The 17708-nt window shown below is 42.5% G+C and overlaps 1 protein-coding gene across 14 annotated transcripts in view; it reads left to right on the top strand.

Annotated features, from left to right (window-relative positions):
* TEX2 (testis expressed 2) overlaps positions 1–17708 on the top strand; it is a 116034-nt gene that overhangs the window by 47103 nt on the left and 51223 nt on the right. For 13 of the 14 annotated variants that reach the window (XM_017024846.3, NM_001288732.2, XM_011525000.3 and 10 more), the window contains exon 2: positions 1916–3584. In XM_017024846.3, the coding sequence (XP_016880335.1) occupies positions 1941–3584 (1644 nt within the window). In that variant the 5' untranslated portion in view covers positions 1916–1940. Of the gene's footprint in view, positions 1–1915; positions 3585–11558; positions 15147–17708 lie in introns of those variants that run through there. The other variant, XM_017024847.3, reaches the window with a different exon arrangement.

The raw sequence follows: 17708 nt of genomic DNA, 5'->3' as shown, positions 1-17708 counted from the left end.
GATTTAAATTGCTTTGTTGGTGGATAGAGATCATTCCCTTTTCCTGGATTCAGGATAGGAAAGCCTGAGGGTCACAAATGAGCCTGGACAGAACTGTGTGTGAAAGTTTTTACGGTAACTTCTCTCAAATATTTGATACTGAAATTGTGTAGTTTCAGCTTGAGTCCATGTTGCAGCTGGGCCCTTGAATGTAATTCTTGTCATCCTTGGAATATTTCCTCCTTCTAGTGATCCAGGATCACTGTTTCCCAAACCCCCTTATTCCCCTACCCATTTTATGATTTCTCTTGTTGGTAATATCAGTTGCCAGCATTTTGAACCTGAATATTTAGCAGAAGGCTTAAATTAGGAGCTCTTCAAATTAAAGAAATAAGCAAGCCACATAATGTCGATTGTGGTAGATTACTTGTAAGCGTATTGTGTTGGGTTGGATACAGTCACCTGTAAACATAAACGTGTAGCGTTTTAAATTTGGAAAGGACTGTGGATCTACCTCCATTTTACAGACCAAGATACTGAGACATCGAGAGGCCCTGGCTTGTTCAAAGTCCCACAGAGTCAGCTGTAGAAAGACAAGTACTAGAAGCCCTATGTCCTGGGCCCAAGCTGGGTGCTCTTTCCACTGCCCCACGATGCCCCTTTTGTCTCAATGGCCTCCCACTGCTCCCCACACTCACCCTCTGTCCTGGAAACAGAATAGAGCCAGGTGGCTGCACACACCATGCCCATTGCCATCTTTATGCCCTTGTCCCTTCCCTCTGCCTAATCATGCTCATCCCACTACAACTCACCCATCAGTTCCAAAGACCCGTTGGATGTCCCACCTCCCACACTGGTGTCATCCTCCTCAGAACTTCTGAAGCGTGCCCTGTGTCTTGGCTCTTTTTACATGGTCTCTGTCCAGGTGTGGTCTTAATTTTTACATAGTAGGGCTAGTGCCCAGTAAATGGGCCATGAGTGAATAAAGAGAGATGACTGTACCATGTCACAAGGTGGGCGTGGCATCTTGTTTTGCTGCCCAGCTTTTCAGGCTTCTGACTTCGTTCCAGCTAAGCTCCAGAAAGAAGCAATCAGCTATTAAGCTCCAGAAGGGCAGAAAGCATAGCTTCCACATCTCTCACCACAGTCCTTGGTAGAGTTCTTGGTTGGTGGTGGGTTACAGCAGTGATACTTCATTTTCCTGACACATGAATCTTGCATTCAGTTTAAAATATGTTTGCTTTATCCTGATGCCTCAGAACGTGGCCATGTCCTCATGGCTGCCTCATGTCTTCATGGCTGCCTAAATACTCTGGTCTTATGGTACCTACCATTTGAGGAGGCCAACAGACCATGGCAATTAGTTTACAGATTTCCACATTTGGATACTTTGCTACTTACTTGCAATAGCAGGAAGTTGGGAGATGCAGGCCAAATAATTGTTAGGATTGCTGTGAAAATTGCAGTGAACGCAATACCCCTCCTGGGTTAGCTTGTTACAGCTACAAGACTCCTAGTGAAATTTTTGTTCCAAGATCCTCAAACTCAACAGGATGCTACATTTTATCCTGTTGGGCTTCTCAAGCAATGCTGGTAACATCTATTGTTCAGGTATTTTAAGGCTTAAGATAGAAAATTGTTGGTAGAAATTAACCAGTTAAAAGGGAGGAAATGATTACTCAGGTGTTGTGAAGTAAGACAGATTGTATGGCATTTATAACATTGGTTATGTAGTTTGCTCATAAAAGAGAATGCCTAACTGGAATTTAGTGAAAATTAAACCATTAAACCCAATGAAGTGAAAAACGGTGGACATCTGCCAAGTAAAAGCATAATCACCACTTAAACAGCTTCATCTGTGCTCCTATCTGCGAATGACAGCGTCTCCTGTGGAGAAACTGCTCTCTGACTTCTGGTTTTCTCACTGTTTTCACAGAGCCTGAGCCCTTGTGAAGCCGGCAATGACAAGTCTGTATGGTCGCCATGCCGAGAAAACCACTGACATGCCAAAACCATCAGCCCCTAAAGTGCACGTGCAGAGGTCCGTGTCCCGAGATACCATCGCCATTCACTTCTCGGCATCCGGCGAGGAGGAGGAGGAAGAGGAGGAGGAGTTCAGGGAGTACTTTGAGGAGGGGCTGGATGACCAAAGCATTGTAACAGGGCTGGAAGCCAAGGAAGACCTCTATCTTGAACCCCAAGTTGGCCATGACCCCGCCGGCCCTGCTGCCTCGCCTGTCCTGGCAGATGGACTGTCCGTGTCCCAGGCCCCTGCCATTTTGCCCGTCTCCAAGAACACTGTAAAGCTGTTGGAGTCCCCTGTTCCAGCAGCACAAGTATTAAGTACAGTGCCATTGGCTGTGTCCCCAGGGTCGTCTTCGTCGGGGCCCTTAGCTAGCTCTCCCAGTGTGTCATCCCTTTCTGAGCAGAAAACCAGTTCTTCCTCCCCATTGTCCTCTCCTTCTAAGTCTCCCATCCTCTCATCCAGTGCCTCAACCTCCACCCTTTCCAGTGCAAAACCCTTCATGAGCCTTGTGAAGTCCCTGTCGACCGAGGTGGAGCCAAAAGAATCCCCACACCCCGCAAGGCACAGGCACTTGATGAAGACATTAGTCAAGTCTCTGTCCACGGACACTTCCCGGCAGGAGTCGGATACAGTGTCCTATAAGCCACCTGATTCCAAACTGAACTTACACCTGTTCAAGCAGTTCACACAGCCCCGAAACACAGGTGGAGATTCCAAAACTGCACCTTCTTCCCCACTGACTTCTCCCTCTGATACTCGTTCCTTTTTTAAAGTGCCCGAAATGGAGGCTAAAATTGAAGATACTAAACGACGCCTTTCAGAAGTCATCTATGAGCCTTTTCAGCTCCTTAGTAAAATTATAGGGGAAGAAAGTGGCAGCCATAGGCCCAAAGCCTTATCTTCAAGTGCTTCAGAACTCTCCAATCTGTCCAGCTTGAATGGGCACTTGGAAAGCAATAACAACTACAGCATCAAGGAGGAGGAGTGTGATTCTGAGGGGGATGGCTACGGAAGTGATTCCAACATCCCCAGAAGTGACCACCCAAAGTCCACTGGTGAGCCCACAAGAGAGATAGAACTGAAAAGTTCCCAGGGGAGCAGTCTGAAGGATTTAGGCCTGAAGACAAGTTCTCTAGTTCTGGAGAAATGTTCTTTGTCTGCCTTAGTGAGCAAAGAAGATGAAGAGTTTTGTGAACTGTACACTGAGGACTTCGATTTGGAAACGGAGGGGGAGAGTAAAGTTGATAAGCTCTCAGATATTCCTCTCAAGCCAGAGGTGCTCGCGGAAGATGGTGTGGTCCTTGACAGTGAGGACGAGGTGGACTCGGCCGTGCAGCACCCGGAATTGCCAGTGAAGACGTTGGGCTTCTTTATAATGTGTGTCTATGTGTACCTCATCCTCCCCCTCCCCCACTATGTGAGTGGACTCTTTCTGGGAATTGGCCTTGGATTCATGACTGCAGTTTGCGTGATTTGGTTTTTTACACCACCAAGTGCTCATAAATATCACAAGTTACACAAAAATCTGCGACACTGGAACACAAGATCTCTGGATATCAAAGAACCTGAAATACTGAAGGTAAGCCTCTCCCCGGGAGCTGGCTAGTACACACACTTCTCACATACAGCCGTATTTTAGATCTGACTTGTTTTTTGGTTAGCTGTTAAAGATTTTTGCACAGGCCGTGTTTTTTAAGAGCTTGGGGCCACTTCATTCTCCAGGCACCCAGTCAACTCATCTGGTAAACCTCATTCTAACCCAAGCTTTGCAGATTCACAAAGTAGTTTCTGAAAGATCTCTGTGACTCTAGAGAATAGTGTTTACATCAGTTCCTGTTCTGGTCTGTCTCTAAACTTACTTGGAATGTGCTACTTGCTGAGCATTTTTAATGGCTGAGTCTGTTAGGGTTCACTATTCTTGAGACCTTGAAGAAGGGTTAAATACTCCCGGAATTGCAAGAGGAGGGAAGGAAGAAGAGAAGGCAAATTAATGTCAGCTGTTGGCCCCTGCTGGTGCTCCTCTTTCCTTTGCACGGTGGGGAATGGGATGGAGAAAGATGTCATCTTTCACTGCATATCAGATGTCAGGCTTTTGGGCCTCCTGAGGGGTCCCTGGGACAATTCATTGGGAAGCAGGAAGAAACATTCATCTAGCTGTCTAATCTGTCGATTGAGACGGAGTCTCACTATGTTGCCTAGTGTGGTCTCAAACTTCTGGGCTCAAGTGATCCTCCTGCTTCAGCCTTCCAAAGTGCTGGGATTACAGGTGTGAGCCGCTGTGTCCAGCCTAGAACTTCTATTTATTATTATTTTTTTGCATATTAAAATTTCTGGTTATGTGTATACACACTATAAAAGTACAATTAGAACTTATATAGTTTGTAAGTTATATGCACACACACATTTATGTACAGTATCCAAGGGGGCATTGGTTTCAGGACCCCCCCCAAGGATACCAAAATCGATGAATGTTTCAGTCCCTTATGTAAAATGGCATAGTATTTGTATTAATATATAACCTATGCTCATTCTCCTGTATACTTTTAAATCATCTCTAGATTACTTATAATACCTAACATAATGTGAATGGTTATTATGCTGTATTTTTAAATTTGTATCTTTTTTACTGTTGGATTGTTATTATTTTTTTTAATTTCATATTTTCAATCCAAGGTTGATTGAATCCATGGATATAGAGGGCTGATTGTATATGTTTTTAGAGATAAGGTGGAAAGCCAGAAAAGTTTAGAGACCACTGCTTTATAAAAGTTATCTAATTCAGCTTCATAACCATCCAGGAGTTTGATGCTTCCAGTTTTACACATGAGGAGATTCAGGCTCTGAGAGAGGTGGTCATTGTCCAAGGTGTCTTGCTACTTAATAAGTAATAGAGGCTGGGCATGGTGGCTCACGCCTGTAATTCCAGCACTTTTGGAGGCTGAGGGAGGCAGATCACTTGAGGTCAGGAGTTCAAGACCAGCCTGGCCAACATGGTGAAACCCTGTCTCTACTAAAAATACAAAAATTAGCTGGGCTTGGTGGCGTGCACCTGTAATCTCAGCTACTTGGGAGGCTGAAGCAGGAGAATTGCTTGGGCCTGGGGGCTGAGGCTGCAGTGAGCTGAGATTGCGCCACTGCACTCCAGCCTGGGTGACAGAGTGAGACTCTGTCTCAAAAATAATAATAATAATAATAAAATAAGTAACAGAGGTAGGCTTTGGAGCCTTTGTGTGTCCTCTTCCTGCTTTTCCCATGACACCTCTCTGCAGAAGGTTCATGCCTAGACCTGCCTGGAGAATTCCTTGTGTTACAGGAGATGTATGAAAAGGAGAACTTCGTTTCCCTGGAGCAATTTTGAACCTTAATTATTGGTTTTAATCTTTAGCTTTTCAAATTCAAAGCTTGTTTGGCTTCTTAGTTAAATTAAAGGTATTATTCTCCCATCTATTTAAATGAGAATGCTCTAAAAATGGCAGCGTGATGTCCCTATTGCAAAAAAAAAAAAAAAAAAAAAAAAAGCTGGGGGTTGGGGAGAATTCTTTTAGGATCCAAAATAATATTTGTTTTTAAATTTCATTGACTTTTTTCCTTGTTCAAAGGAAATACATGGTTAATGTTTTAAAAACACAGGAAACCCAAAGAAAAAAAATTTTTTGATCACACTAGTGGAAGGGAATTACAGTTAATGATTTGGTATATATCCTAGTTTTTTGGGTTTTTAAAATTTCTGCATATATGAAGATATGCATCACATACATGCATACTCACCCACTCTTTTTGTTTTGATTTAATAGGATCATATATTTTGCAGTCTGACCTTTTTTCTTTCTTTCACATGGCAATATGTTATGACACTTTCTTCTTTAAGAGAAGCTGTGTTGAGTCTTGTGGATGTGACACCCTTAAGCTTAGCGTTAATAAATGAAGTGGAGCAAAAATGACTCACGCGTGGTTGCTGAGCTTTTTCTGATAGGGTGGTGCAGTGACTACCTGAAGTACGTGCTCTCCAAGTAAGTTCGTGCTAACTTTAGCAAGGAAAAATTGCGCTTATATTAACTCTAGTACCTAATGACTGACTGTGGCATTCAGTTTAAACTGGTTTGAGCACTGACTTGTCTTAGGAAGATTTTAATTTTAATCCAGTCAATCTTTAGTGTTTTTTTCCTACCCTCTTCTCAGATGTAAATTACTTAGTGTCAATCCAATCACTGTGATATGTCAAGAGTTTACTAACTACACAGGGTGCCGATGGAATGGGATTTTAATGTTATAGCACAGCCTGGTTGCTTTGATCTGATCACTGGAAGAATAAAGGCAACACTGTGATGCTGAGCACTGCAGTGGGCTAAGTGTTGGGTGTATTATCTCATTCAATCCTCGTCACAACCCTGTTCAGTTAGCGTATATGTGCTCATGCAGATGGAGGCCCACAGAAGTTAAGTTATTGCCCAAGGTCACACAGCTAGTGTGTGGTGGAGCCTTGTAGGACAGTGTTTTCTTTTAAGGAAGGTGTTTTGCCCACAGTGGCTAGGATAAACGTATTTGAATTTTCCTTGTAGAGAACAAGTACTTTAATGCTCTCATAGACTGACACCCCTAATCCAAGCAAACTGTCATAGACTAAGCATTTATTCTTCCTTATTGCTGTTTGGACAACTCTGATCACTTTGGTAATTCTTTTTTCATTCTTAGCCTTAACTTGTTTAGAATGGTTTCATTACTAAAGAGGAAAAGTATATTTTAGCCTGAAGTCTTTTGTTGGGTATGCGGTGTTGTTTTTAGAAACTGGGCTGAATGCATTCTCTATTTAGAAAAGGGACACTACTATGAATTAGAAGGATATGCTGTCTGTTACAAGCTAATTTCAAATGCAAATGTTCTTTGGACTTAGTTAATTTTACTGAATGGGAGATTATACTCTTGGGAACCGTTTTTAAACTATGGTACTTTAAAACATTTAGCAGCGTTGACATTAACTTTAGGACCCAAGTTTACTGTTATCTGTCTTCCCTAATATTCCATAAGCTTCATGAATGCATAGGCCCTGTCCATCTTGTTCATCTTGTATCCTCAGCACCTGCCACGTATTAGGTATGTGATAGGTAATTGTTGGCTGAATGGATGGGTAGATGAATGAAGGAGTGAGATTTTATCAGAAGATTTGAGCAGTGAGTTGGTATTGACCCTGTCATCTCCTGGTGATGTTGCTTTTTAAAAGAAATCCCTAGCTGGGCATGGTAGCCCACACCTGTAATCCCAGAGCTTTGGGAGGCTGAGGCAGAAGGATCACCTGAAGCCAGGAGTTTGAGACCAGCCTGGGCAACACAGCAAGATCCCATCTCTACAAAAAATTTAAAATAATTAGCCAGGTATGGTGGTGCATGCATGTGGTCCCAGCTACTCAGGAGGGTGAGGTGGGAGGATCACTTGAGTCCAGGAGTTTGAAGCTGCAGTGAGCCATGATAACACCACTGCACTCCAGCCTGGGTGACAGAATGAGACTCTGTCTCTAAAAAAATAAAATAAATCCTTGATGCTTGCTTTAAAAAAAATAGGGTTTAATAGGAGTGATCTTTTAAGAAAATGAAAATAATTACTAAAAAGTAAAGCTTTTGGTTGGGCGTGGTGGCTCACCCCTGTAATCCCAGCACTTTGGAAGGCCAAGGCAGAGGATTGCTTGAGGTCAGGAGTTCAAGACCAGCCTGGGCAACATAGTGGGACCACCATCTCTATAAAAGTTTTGTTTAAAAAGCCAGGTGTGGTGGCGCAGCTTGCAGTCCCAGCCACTCGAGAGGCTGAGGCAGGAAGATCGCTTGAGCTCAGGGGGTCAAGGCTGCACTGAGCCGTGATCATGCCACCGCACTCCAGCCTGGGCAATAGAGTGTGACCCTGTCTCAAAAAAACAAAACAAAAACAAAAACAAAAACAAAACAGTAAAGCTTTTCCTAAGCTTTTTTTCTGAAAGTGGACAAGCCAAGACAGTCCATCTTTAACAGGATTTGAAGCTTGACATTTGTTGCTTAGAAATCGACTGGTGACCCAAGTCTGCTCTCCTGTGACCAGTGCTCACGCAGTGCTGCCCTCCTGAATGCAAAGGGAGTAGTAGAAAGGCAAATACTGGCCGGGTGTGGTGGCTCACGCCTGTAATCCCAGCACTTTGGGAGGCTGAGGCGGGTGGATCACGAGGTCAGGAGATCGAGACCATCCTGGCTAACAGTGAAATCCTGTCTCTACTAAAAATACAAAAAAATTAGCTGGGCGTGGTGGCGGGTGCCTGTAGTCCCAGCTAGTCATGAGGCTGAGGCAGGAGAATGGCGTGAACCCGGGAGGCAGAGCTTGCAGTGAGCTGCGATCGCACCACTGCCCTCCAGCCTGAGTGACAGAGCGAGACTCCGTCTCAAAAAAAAAAAAGAAAAAAAAAAGGCAAATACTAAGTGGAGGATTGGAGAAGTGGGCAGTGATGAGTTCCAGATTTCCACTCTGCCTCCAGGTTGATGGCTTTAAAGTGATGTAGGAGATAGACCTTGGTTTCTTTATAAAACAGGCCTGTGAACTTGTTTCTAGGGCAAGCCAAAAGAGCCACTTATTGAAAATGTTTGATTTCAGGGGATAAGTGAGCTGGTTTGAATTATTTTGTGTACATCTGATCCAATTTAGTTGGTATTTACAGAAGATGGTGCAATTCTTGAGGGAAGGTACGGAAGCCTTTTTAAAAAGCTCACCAATATGGAAGACTATAATACCTGCCTGCGACCGAGATCTCCAAGACAGGCCCAGCCCAGGACCGAGATCCCGCATACTTTATGCCCTAAGAGGACTCCATATATGAGCTGTGAACCAGTCAGGCAGTGAGCTGGGTGCTCAGGGACTGTTTTAGGAGACCATGTGGTTTTGAACCTCTGAGCCGTATAAGTTCTCACTGATGGGTCCAGGAACTGCTTGCAGCCAGACTGGACTAAGAGTCTTGCCCCTTTACTGGTTCCATGAACAGTTCAAGGAGCATTGCAGTTTTTCTTCTGTGTAACTTCACATGCTGAGGAAAGAATGGAGAAAAGGAAAGTTTTTGTGTACTTTATCAGGGTCCTCACTGCAGACATATGTATTTATATATGATGCTGCAGCAGTGATACATTTATGGGATGACAAACCAAAAAGACCAATTTGCAGCCAAGTAGTAGCTAATCTCAAAGACTGTTGTGTGGTTGTCTAGGCCCTATGGTACTCCGCCGTCTCCCGCTCTGAACCCATTTGATCAGCAGCTGTACTGTCTAGAATATAAGTAAAAAAGAGGCCGGGTGTGATGGCTCACGCCTGTAATCCCAGCACTTTAGGAGGCTGAGGTGGGTGGATCATGTGAGGTCAGGAGTTCAAGACCAGCCTGGCCAACATGGTGGAACCCCCTTCTCTGCTAAAAATACAAAATTAGCCGGGTGTGGTGGGGCATGCCTGTAATCCTAGCTACTTGGGAGGCTGAGGCAGGCGAATTGCTTGAACCTGGGAGGTGGAGGTTGCAGTGAGCTGAGATCGCACCACTGTACTCTTATTGCCTGGGCAACAAGAACGAAACTCCGTCTCAAAAAAAAAAAAAAAAAAAAAAAAAAAGTAAGACCTCTATGTGGCCAAAGAGCTGTCACAAAGTCCACAGAAGAATTCTTAGGACCTCCTCCAAAGCTTGCTTGTTCTTAGTATGTTGGAGTTCATAGCTGATGAGAAGCAGCAAATAGGAGAAAGGTTGCTACAGGCATTCAACAGGAAGTGGCATGTGAATGCACATGGTATTGGCACAAAGGCCAATACCAAAATGTGAGAAGAAGCTCATAGGACTTAGAGCATGGTGGGCTGGGCAGGTTAGCTCAAGGCAAAGAGCCTCGTGTGTGCCACAGACCAATGGCATCCCTGTAGTGACACCCCCTGTGTGGTAGCCTTCAGGAGTTCTTATGTTGGGTGACTGTCTAGATGCCCTAAGCTGGGGACCTTGGGAAAGGGTGGGTTTGGGCACGGGGAAAATGGGGCATTTAGAGTCAGCAAACTGCACTTGGCATGTTTGCTTAGCCAAATCAGATGGTCCCTTGCCCAGGATTATTTTTAATTCAGAGCCATTCCTGTTGCACACTAACTTTCTACATGTTTATAATGAAAAGCTTCCTGAAGATTTCATAAGGGTCTTGGATTTATGTTTGAGTATATGACTCAGATGCAATTTTGAATTATATTCACGAGCAAATTCTTTATCTCAGATTTATAAACCACCAGCAGAACACAGCAGTAGCATATTGGTTTCCAGAGTGATAATCCATCTCTTTTTTAAAGATATGGCCTGCAAGTTTGACTAAAATTATATTTAGGCCATTGCAGAAACTAATAGAAATGGATTTTGGAGAACTTTTTTTTCTTTAGATTGTGTCACATGTAGATATTTAATAAGAGGGATAGGTTTTAAAAATAGGTTCCCTGAATATAGGCTTTGGTTTTGATATATAAAAGAATAATTTTGGGGGGAGGACATGATCAATTTTGAGGAGAAATTCCAATTTGTAAATTTAATCTCAATTTGTTGAAATTCTTTCAAGAAATTAGAGTAAGCAAGTCTTTAGGAGAAAATGGCCATTACATGCAGCCCAAAGAGACTTGGATTGCTTTTTGTTGGTCTCTTATAACTTAGAGTAAGGACAAGAAATGTGAGTGCATTTCTTTCTACATTATACTTTACTGAAAATATCCTGCCCCTATAATGGGTTACCTGAGTTTTTATGTATGGTTTTTATAAACATGGCTATTTCCCAGTGCCCCTTGTAGAATAGTTTTCAGGTGAGATGTTTGTTTGTTTGTATGTTTGTTTGTTTTGCCTCGCTCTGTCGCTCAGGCTAGAGTGCAGTGGCACAATCTTGGCTCACTGCAACCTCTGCCTCCCGGGTTCAGGCAATTCTCCTGCCTCAGCCTCCAGAGTTGCTGGGATTACATGTGCGCATCACCATGCACGGCTAATCAGTGAGATGTTTTGATGCAGGCAGCCCTCACTTACCAGAAGGTACCCCTTGTGTTGAAGTTGGAGAGGCAGCTGTGTGGAACGTGCTTCCTGAATTCCATAGGAACAATATGGTTAAGGATGTCAGGTAGTCCCAAAATGACTTTTTTGAACTTTCATTTTTAAACTATTTATTGATGAAAATATTAAATACAGACAAAAGTAGAGGCAATAGTAAAATGAACCCCCCATGTGCCTGACACCCAGTTTCAACAATTGTCAACATTTTGCCAGTTTTTCACTCAATTCATTAACTTATGGCATGGCTGAATTGTAATTCTGGTTACCTATATATAAGTACAGTTTTTAGCATCCTGAAAATACCTTCTGAACTCTGTAAGAAAAGTAGCAAAAACATCGAAGATTCTTATTGTAATTATTGTTCAATAATTAGCCGTTAAGAAGAGGTTTGCTGTACTCCAAAGATGAGTTTGCCAGCAAGATGGTTCTAGGGCATGAGCGTGTTTTTTTGTGGGTGCCCAGGCCATAGTTGTTGACTCACTGTTTTCATTCCATTGCTTCTTTCAGTGGTGTTCAAATGGGTTGCAGAAGACACTAATCAAGAAGAAAACAGTAAAGTTTCCGTCTGTATCAGTCTTTGCTCTTTCTAGTTGAGAAAGTAAATAAGCCTTGCTGATATTTAACATACAGATGACCATATATCGACTTTTGGCCAAAAACCTTGGAAATTATCAGTAAGACTCTGAAATACAGATTTACACTCAGGATCATCAACAGTGATCCTCACCTTGAGTGTATGTATTGTGCCTTAAGGTGTCAGCTGAAGATAGTACAAAGCTGTCATACTGGAAAAACTAAAAATTATCAAAAGGATAATTATTTCATCTTTTGCTCTTTATTTCTATTCTGTACTTTATATAAAAGCTGTATATATTGGGACATGTGTATAAATTATAAGTAAAGTATATATTTGTACATACCCAAAAAGTTGTTTGATAGAATGCGTGATCTGAAAAGTGACAGAGGCTGCTAATTTATTTGCTTGCTGATCTATTTATCTTACAATTTTAACCCTTGTTAATATGATTTAATGTTTATCATGTATTAATGTAACTCAGACCTTGGTCATTTCAGTGGTTCATCTGAGATCATTTTACCTTTCTAATTTGAATCCACGTTATCTCCTATTCTATTACTGTCTGTCAGTGCATTATAATTTCAAAAATGTTCTATGGCCACCTGAGTTTGGGAGATTCTGCACTGGAGGATAGGAGAGCAGGATAAAGCTGTGGCTTTAGCCCTGACTCCAGTGCTTCTAGTGTCACTGCTGGGAAGGTGACCTTGAAGCAGGCAGTTGGAGGATGTGGACGGTATTAACGGCGCTTCCCTCCCCTAATGGGCTTTCTTTCTTTTCTTTTTTTAATGTTCTTTATAGTGTCTTTGAGCAGCATTTATTTTGAATGTTGACTCCCTGCTTAAGGCTATCATTTATAGTATGAATTCTGGATGTCTGTGGGTCTGCTTGCCTTTCATGGGTAAAATCAAATTTGTATCTCAGGACCTATAAAGTTTATTAGACGGTCCCACCCCTGCCATATTCTCAAACTCCATGATCTATGGTGCTGTGTTTCTGATACTGATGATGCTGGTCCTAAACCATTAATACATCAAAAAAGGTTTAGGCTTGGTAAAGACAAAATCCTGCTTATGTTTTAGTTTTGGAGACAGAGAGTAATTACCTTTTTATGTGCTTCAGAGATGATTTTCAACAGGAGGGGCCTCAGGCCCTGGCTCTATTCTTGTGTAGGATTTGCTCCTTCCCTGATACACTTGATGAAGCAATGATACAGGGATCTGAATGACAGGTGGACTGAAATGCCAGCACAGCCACATGTCAGCAGGGTGAAAACATGCTGCATTGTTACTGCTGTCAGCCAGGCACACAGTGCCTGAATTCTCATCACTTCCTCGGGCTATAGGGCTGGCACTTTTCTCTGGTCAGCTCAGTATCAAGCTGAGCAATAGAGCATTGGCCTTGAACTTCTGATTGGCACTGTAACTGAAAGCACGGTAGTAGTTCTTCCAGACTTTATTATTTTGCAAAAGGTTAATTGTAGCTTTTAATCTTTTAAAATATTAAATGGCCCCTTTATAGATTGTGGTTTTGTACTTTCAGCCATACGTGGCTTCTAAATCCAGCAGAGAATTGAGAGAAACCCCTGACCTTTTACAAATGCCATCACAGGACCAGTCTGTGGGCCAGACAGCTGCAGCCTGGCTGACTGGGTCATTGTCCCCAGCGGGGTGCACTGTGTCCATTTTAACAGCTCTAGCTTCAGAAAGAAACAAAGCTTGTCTGAGTCACTTTAGTGTGGGTTGAGAGCATCTCAGAGTTTTCGGTTGAGCTGTTGAAATGGAATGTTGCTATCTATATGCCATATCTCTCTATACCCATTCCCATGTCTCATAACAAGGTTGGATGAATACTTTACCTGGTAAGAAATTCAGGCTTAAGAATTTTAGAACAGCTGAGCAGTGGATAGTTGGGCACTATATGGAGAACAGGATGAAGACCTTGGAGTTGCTGCTTCTCTCAAGATTCGACAATTGCTGAAATCTGGAAATTTCATTTGCAGCTTAATCCAGGGACTTGGTCAGATCCTGGGTGGGGGGAAATGGCTGATTAATGGTATCAAAAGGTGATTAGGTTTGCACCGGGAAATTGCTTTCTGCAAGAGCAACCTGGTTTCAGGTCAGTAGGAGTGTGAAGGGGCAGAATTAGGGAGGCTTGGAGGAAAGTTGTGCCTCAGCCTCTTGTCCTGAGCCTCCCTAAGGCCAGTCTGCAACCTGGTTCCTGACAGTGGGGTCAAGTAGCAACTCCTGTGATCCTCTCAAGATTTCCTGTCAAAGCCTGTAGTGTTCTGGAAAGAGCCTTAGATAGGGGGCAGGAAACATGGGCTCCAGTCACAATACCCCTCTCTGCTCTAGATAAGACTTAGCCCATCCGATTTCTGTCCTGAAAATCTTTGGTTTCTGGGGTTATTTTCTTGTTCTGTGCTATTTTGTGCATTTTTACCTTGGTTTTTCTTTTTTAGAAGAGTGACCAAGTCTTCTAAGTAACCTCTACAGCTCCTTGCACTTATTAGGGCGTCAGCTTCTTCCTTTGCTTGTTCGTCTCACACAGCTAGCACTGTACTTATAAGCTGTGAGGGGCTCGCTAGCCTTCCTGCTTACTCCTGCTTCCCATAGATTTCATTTAATCCTCACAGCCACCTCTGAATTAGGCTTCCCTCATGTATTCAGTCAACAAACATTTGTTACAGTTGTGGTTGGCAGACATGATGATCCCTGCTCTTGTGGAGTTTATAACTCAGTTTAGTAAACCAGGTAGTTAACAGATACAGTGATGGGAGAGTACCAGAGAACTGAGCCTAGGTGAGGAGGGAGGCTTCCTAGGAGAAGTGCCGTCTTTGCCATGACCTGAGGGGTGACTAGGCACAAGCCAGACTGCAGGTGGGGCCGTGCCATGGAGCTGAGGTAGCATCCCACACCTTGGAGTCAGGAACACTTGGTTTGAGTCCCAGATTTGCCACTCTGTAGACATTGGAAGGCAAATCACATCCCCTCTCTCACCACTTTTCTTACCTGTAAAATCGTAGGGAATTGACAGAAATACAGGAGATAATGCACCTGGGGTACCTGGGCCATAAGGTGAGCTTAAATGTCAGCTATTATTATGAATAGTAATATTAGTGTTTAAAAAACCATATGCTTATGATTTCTTTATAAACTCTAAACAAATTGTACCTTAATAAACTGTCAGTAGGAGAAAAATCACTATGGCTTGAACAGAGGGTGAGGTGTAGGGGCCAGGGAGGCATGAAACTGGGCAGTAAGCCACCTGGACCCTTTTACAGGTGAGCAAAGCAAGTGTCTGAGGGATAAGCATCACCTACCTTGGCAGGAGGTAAGTGGTGCAGGCATGATTGGAACCCAGGTCTGTCAGATTCCCAGTACTTCTGCTAAGGTAGGTGAGTTGGTTTCAGCGCATGTGTTTTGACCAGCAGTCTTTTGTGTAATTGGATACGATCAGTGTAGGGTCTCATTTAGGCTAACAAATGATTGTTCACAATAAATGTGTAATTCAAATCCTGATTTGTGTGCTGTGTTTATTTGTTTTTTAGCAGCTGTGGACTTTAGCATCTGATGAATCTTTAACACAAAGATAGGAACATGGTAGTTCAGGAAGGAGGAAATTTGAAGATAAAAGGGAAGGAGAAACCACAGCAGCTGGTGATTCTGAAAAGATGGGGGTAGGGAGAAGAAGGGCCAAGCCAAGCCCAAGCAGAATAAAGGAATTTGGGTCCCCTCCAGGCTTTCGCAAGAGAAGGAAAGCATCTCCTAGATTCTCTTTCTATGCCTACCTACTTCTTGCCTCTCACTTCTGCCTCCTGCAGTGCAGCAGGTAAGGTTTTGTGCTTTTGAACTGTGTAGGTAGGACTTGAAACTCCCTTCTCTCTTTCACATTCTTCTGAATCAGGTTGTTCTGGGATTCCTGAATTTGGCAAGTGGTAGAGGATGACCTTTATCTGTCAGAGCTGTCAGCAAAGAAGGTAATTGCATACTCATCTCAGAACTGTGCCCATGTGTGAGCGAGCACACAGGCTGCAGCCAGCAAGAACTCCACAGTGGCTGTTCTTCAGCTAAGGTGGTAGCTCAGGTTGCTGGGTTGAATGCCTGGCTTTGTGGCTAAAAACCGAATCCCTGAAGCACTGTGGAAATGGTTGCTCTTGTTATCCAGGGACAGGAATTTTCCTAGGAATAATAATTGAGTAGCAGTTGGTTAGACTGGGGCAGAGTAACAGCTCAGCACCTGAAACTGACCTGTGAACAGATGAGCTGGTGTATGTATCTCAACACACATGCCTGTATGTCTTGTTTTGTTTTCTAAGTCTAAAAATCAAAAGAATAAGCTAAAAAAATGATATGTTTGTCTATTAATTATCTTAATTTTCCTATAGAACTATGAGTTTTTCAAAAGCCTCCTACATAGAATACTCTTATTAATATTTCTGAGTTTTTAATATTGCAGGTTAACTTTTAAAAGGGATTTTGAATTTCTACAATAGATTTCATTAGGTGATTACTTAGATTATCTTCTCTCATTTAATTATGCAAAGCATCTAATAAAATGGCAGAAAACTGCCATGTACTGAATGACTGTCTCTTATCACTAAGACTGAGTGTGTTGAAAGCATGCACAAGAAGAGAAAGGAAGGCTTTGCCCATTCTATTCATAGTTGAGCCAAGGGTCTAGGGCTAAAAAGCTTGAACCCAATAACTGGCCCTGAACTGTCTCTTATATACTAGTCCTGAGCCCTATGTGGCTGTTGAGCCCTTGAAGTGTAGCTAGTTGGAATCAAGATGTGTTCTAAGCGTAAAGTACGCACTGGATTCTGAAGACTTGGTATGAAACAGAATGTAAAATACCAGTAATAATTTTTAATATTGATTACATGTTGAAATCATAATTTTGATATGAATTTAAATAAAATACATTGTTTAAATTAATTTTACCTGCTTTTTCTTTCTTAATGTGGCTCTTAGACCATTTAAAATTACACATTTTCAGCAAGGCGCAGTGGCTCACGCCTGTAATCCCAGCACTTTGGGAGGCCAAGGTGGGTGGATCACTTGAGGTCAGGAGTTTGAGACCAGCCTGGCCAACATGGTGAAACTCCATCTCTACTAAAAATACGAAAATTAGCCGGGCGTGGTGGCACACACCTGTAATCCCAGCTATTCAGGAGACTGAGGCAGGAGAATTGCTTGAACCCAGGAGGTGCAGGTTGCAGTGAGCCAAGGTAACGCCACTGCACTCCAGCCTGGGCAACAGAGCGAGACTCCATCTCAAAAAAATAAAGTAAAAATAAAATTACATATTTTCATGATCACATTTATGGCTCACATTATATTAATATTTCCATTGTACAGCACCTCCCTGGACAAGTCTGCATTTTCTGATTTAGGAAAGACGAAATGAAAGCAATTGGAGAGAAACAACTTTTATCCCTAAGTTTCTCTTATTCATAAATCAGATAATTAACCTGTACAATCCCAGCAGTTTCAAATGGGAAAAATCCCCACAGCTTACTTTACTCTATTTCTCAGAGACTGTCCTTTTCTTGGAGAACAGTTTCATGTAATATAATACTTGTCTTTTTTTTCTCCTTTAGCCCTTCTAGTCTGGTGGTGAGTGGTTGATAAACATAATGCAGGGATTTTTGTCTGAAATTCCAGTATCATGTTAATCCTTTTTTTCTCATTTGGTGCCAGTATCATGTTAATTCTACTGGCTTTTGTACATGTATCTGTAATTCTATGTACCTGGAAATAACGAAAAATATTTTATATGGTGATTTGTCGCAGTAATGTCTATCTTATATCAAATTGTGATTATCATAATTCAAAAACAGCCATTAAATAAATGCTGAGCATCTCAGCTTAGGTATTAGGATGGACGAAGGCAGTATCACACATAATCCATATTCTCAAGTAGCCTCTACTCTAGCCAGCAGATGTGTGCTCAGAGTGAAATGATTCAAGAAGAGCAATTGCATGCAGGGACTGTATGGCCAAATGGCTCATAAATGACACTGATAACAAGTGGCTGTTTTGATCTAATAGAGTTCTCATCAGCTCCAACTTCCCCCCGCC

The sequence above is a fragment of the Homo sapiens genome, chromosome 17 (genome assembly GCF_000001405.40).
Source record: "Homo sapiens chromosome 17, GRCh38.p14 Primary Assembly".
NCBI lineage: Eukaryota > Metazoa > Chordata > Mammalia > Primates > Hominidae > Homo > Homo sapiens.
The sequence above is the reverse complement of the archived record's forward strand: the minus strand, read 5'-3'. Positions and strand labels throughout refer to the sequence as shown.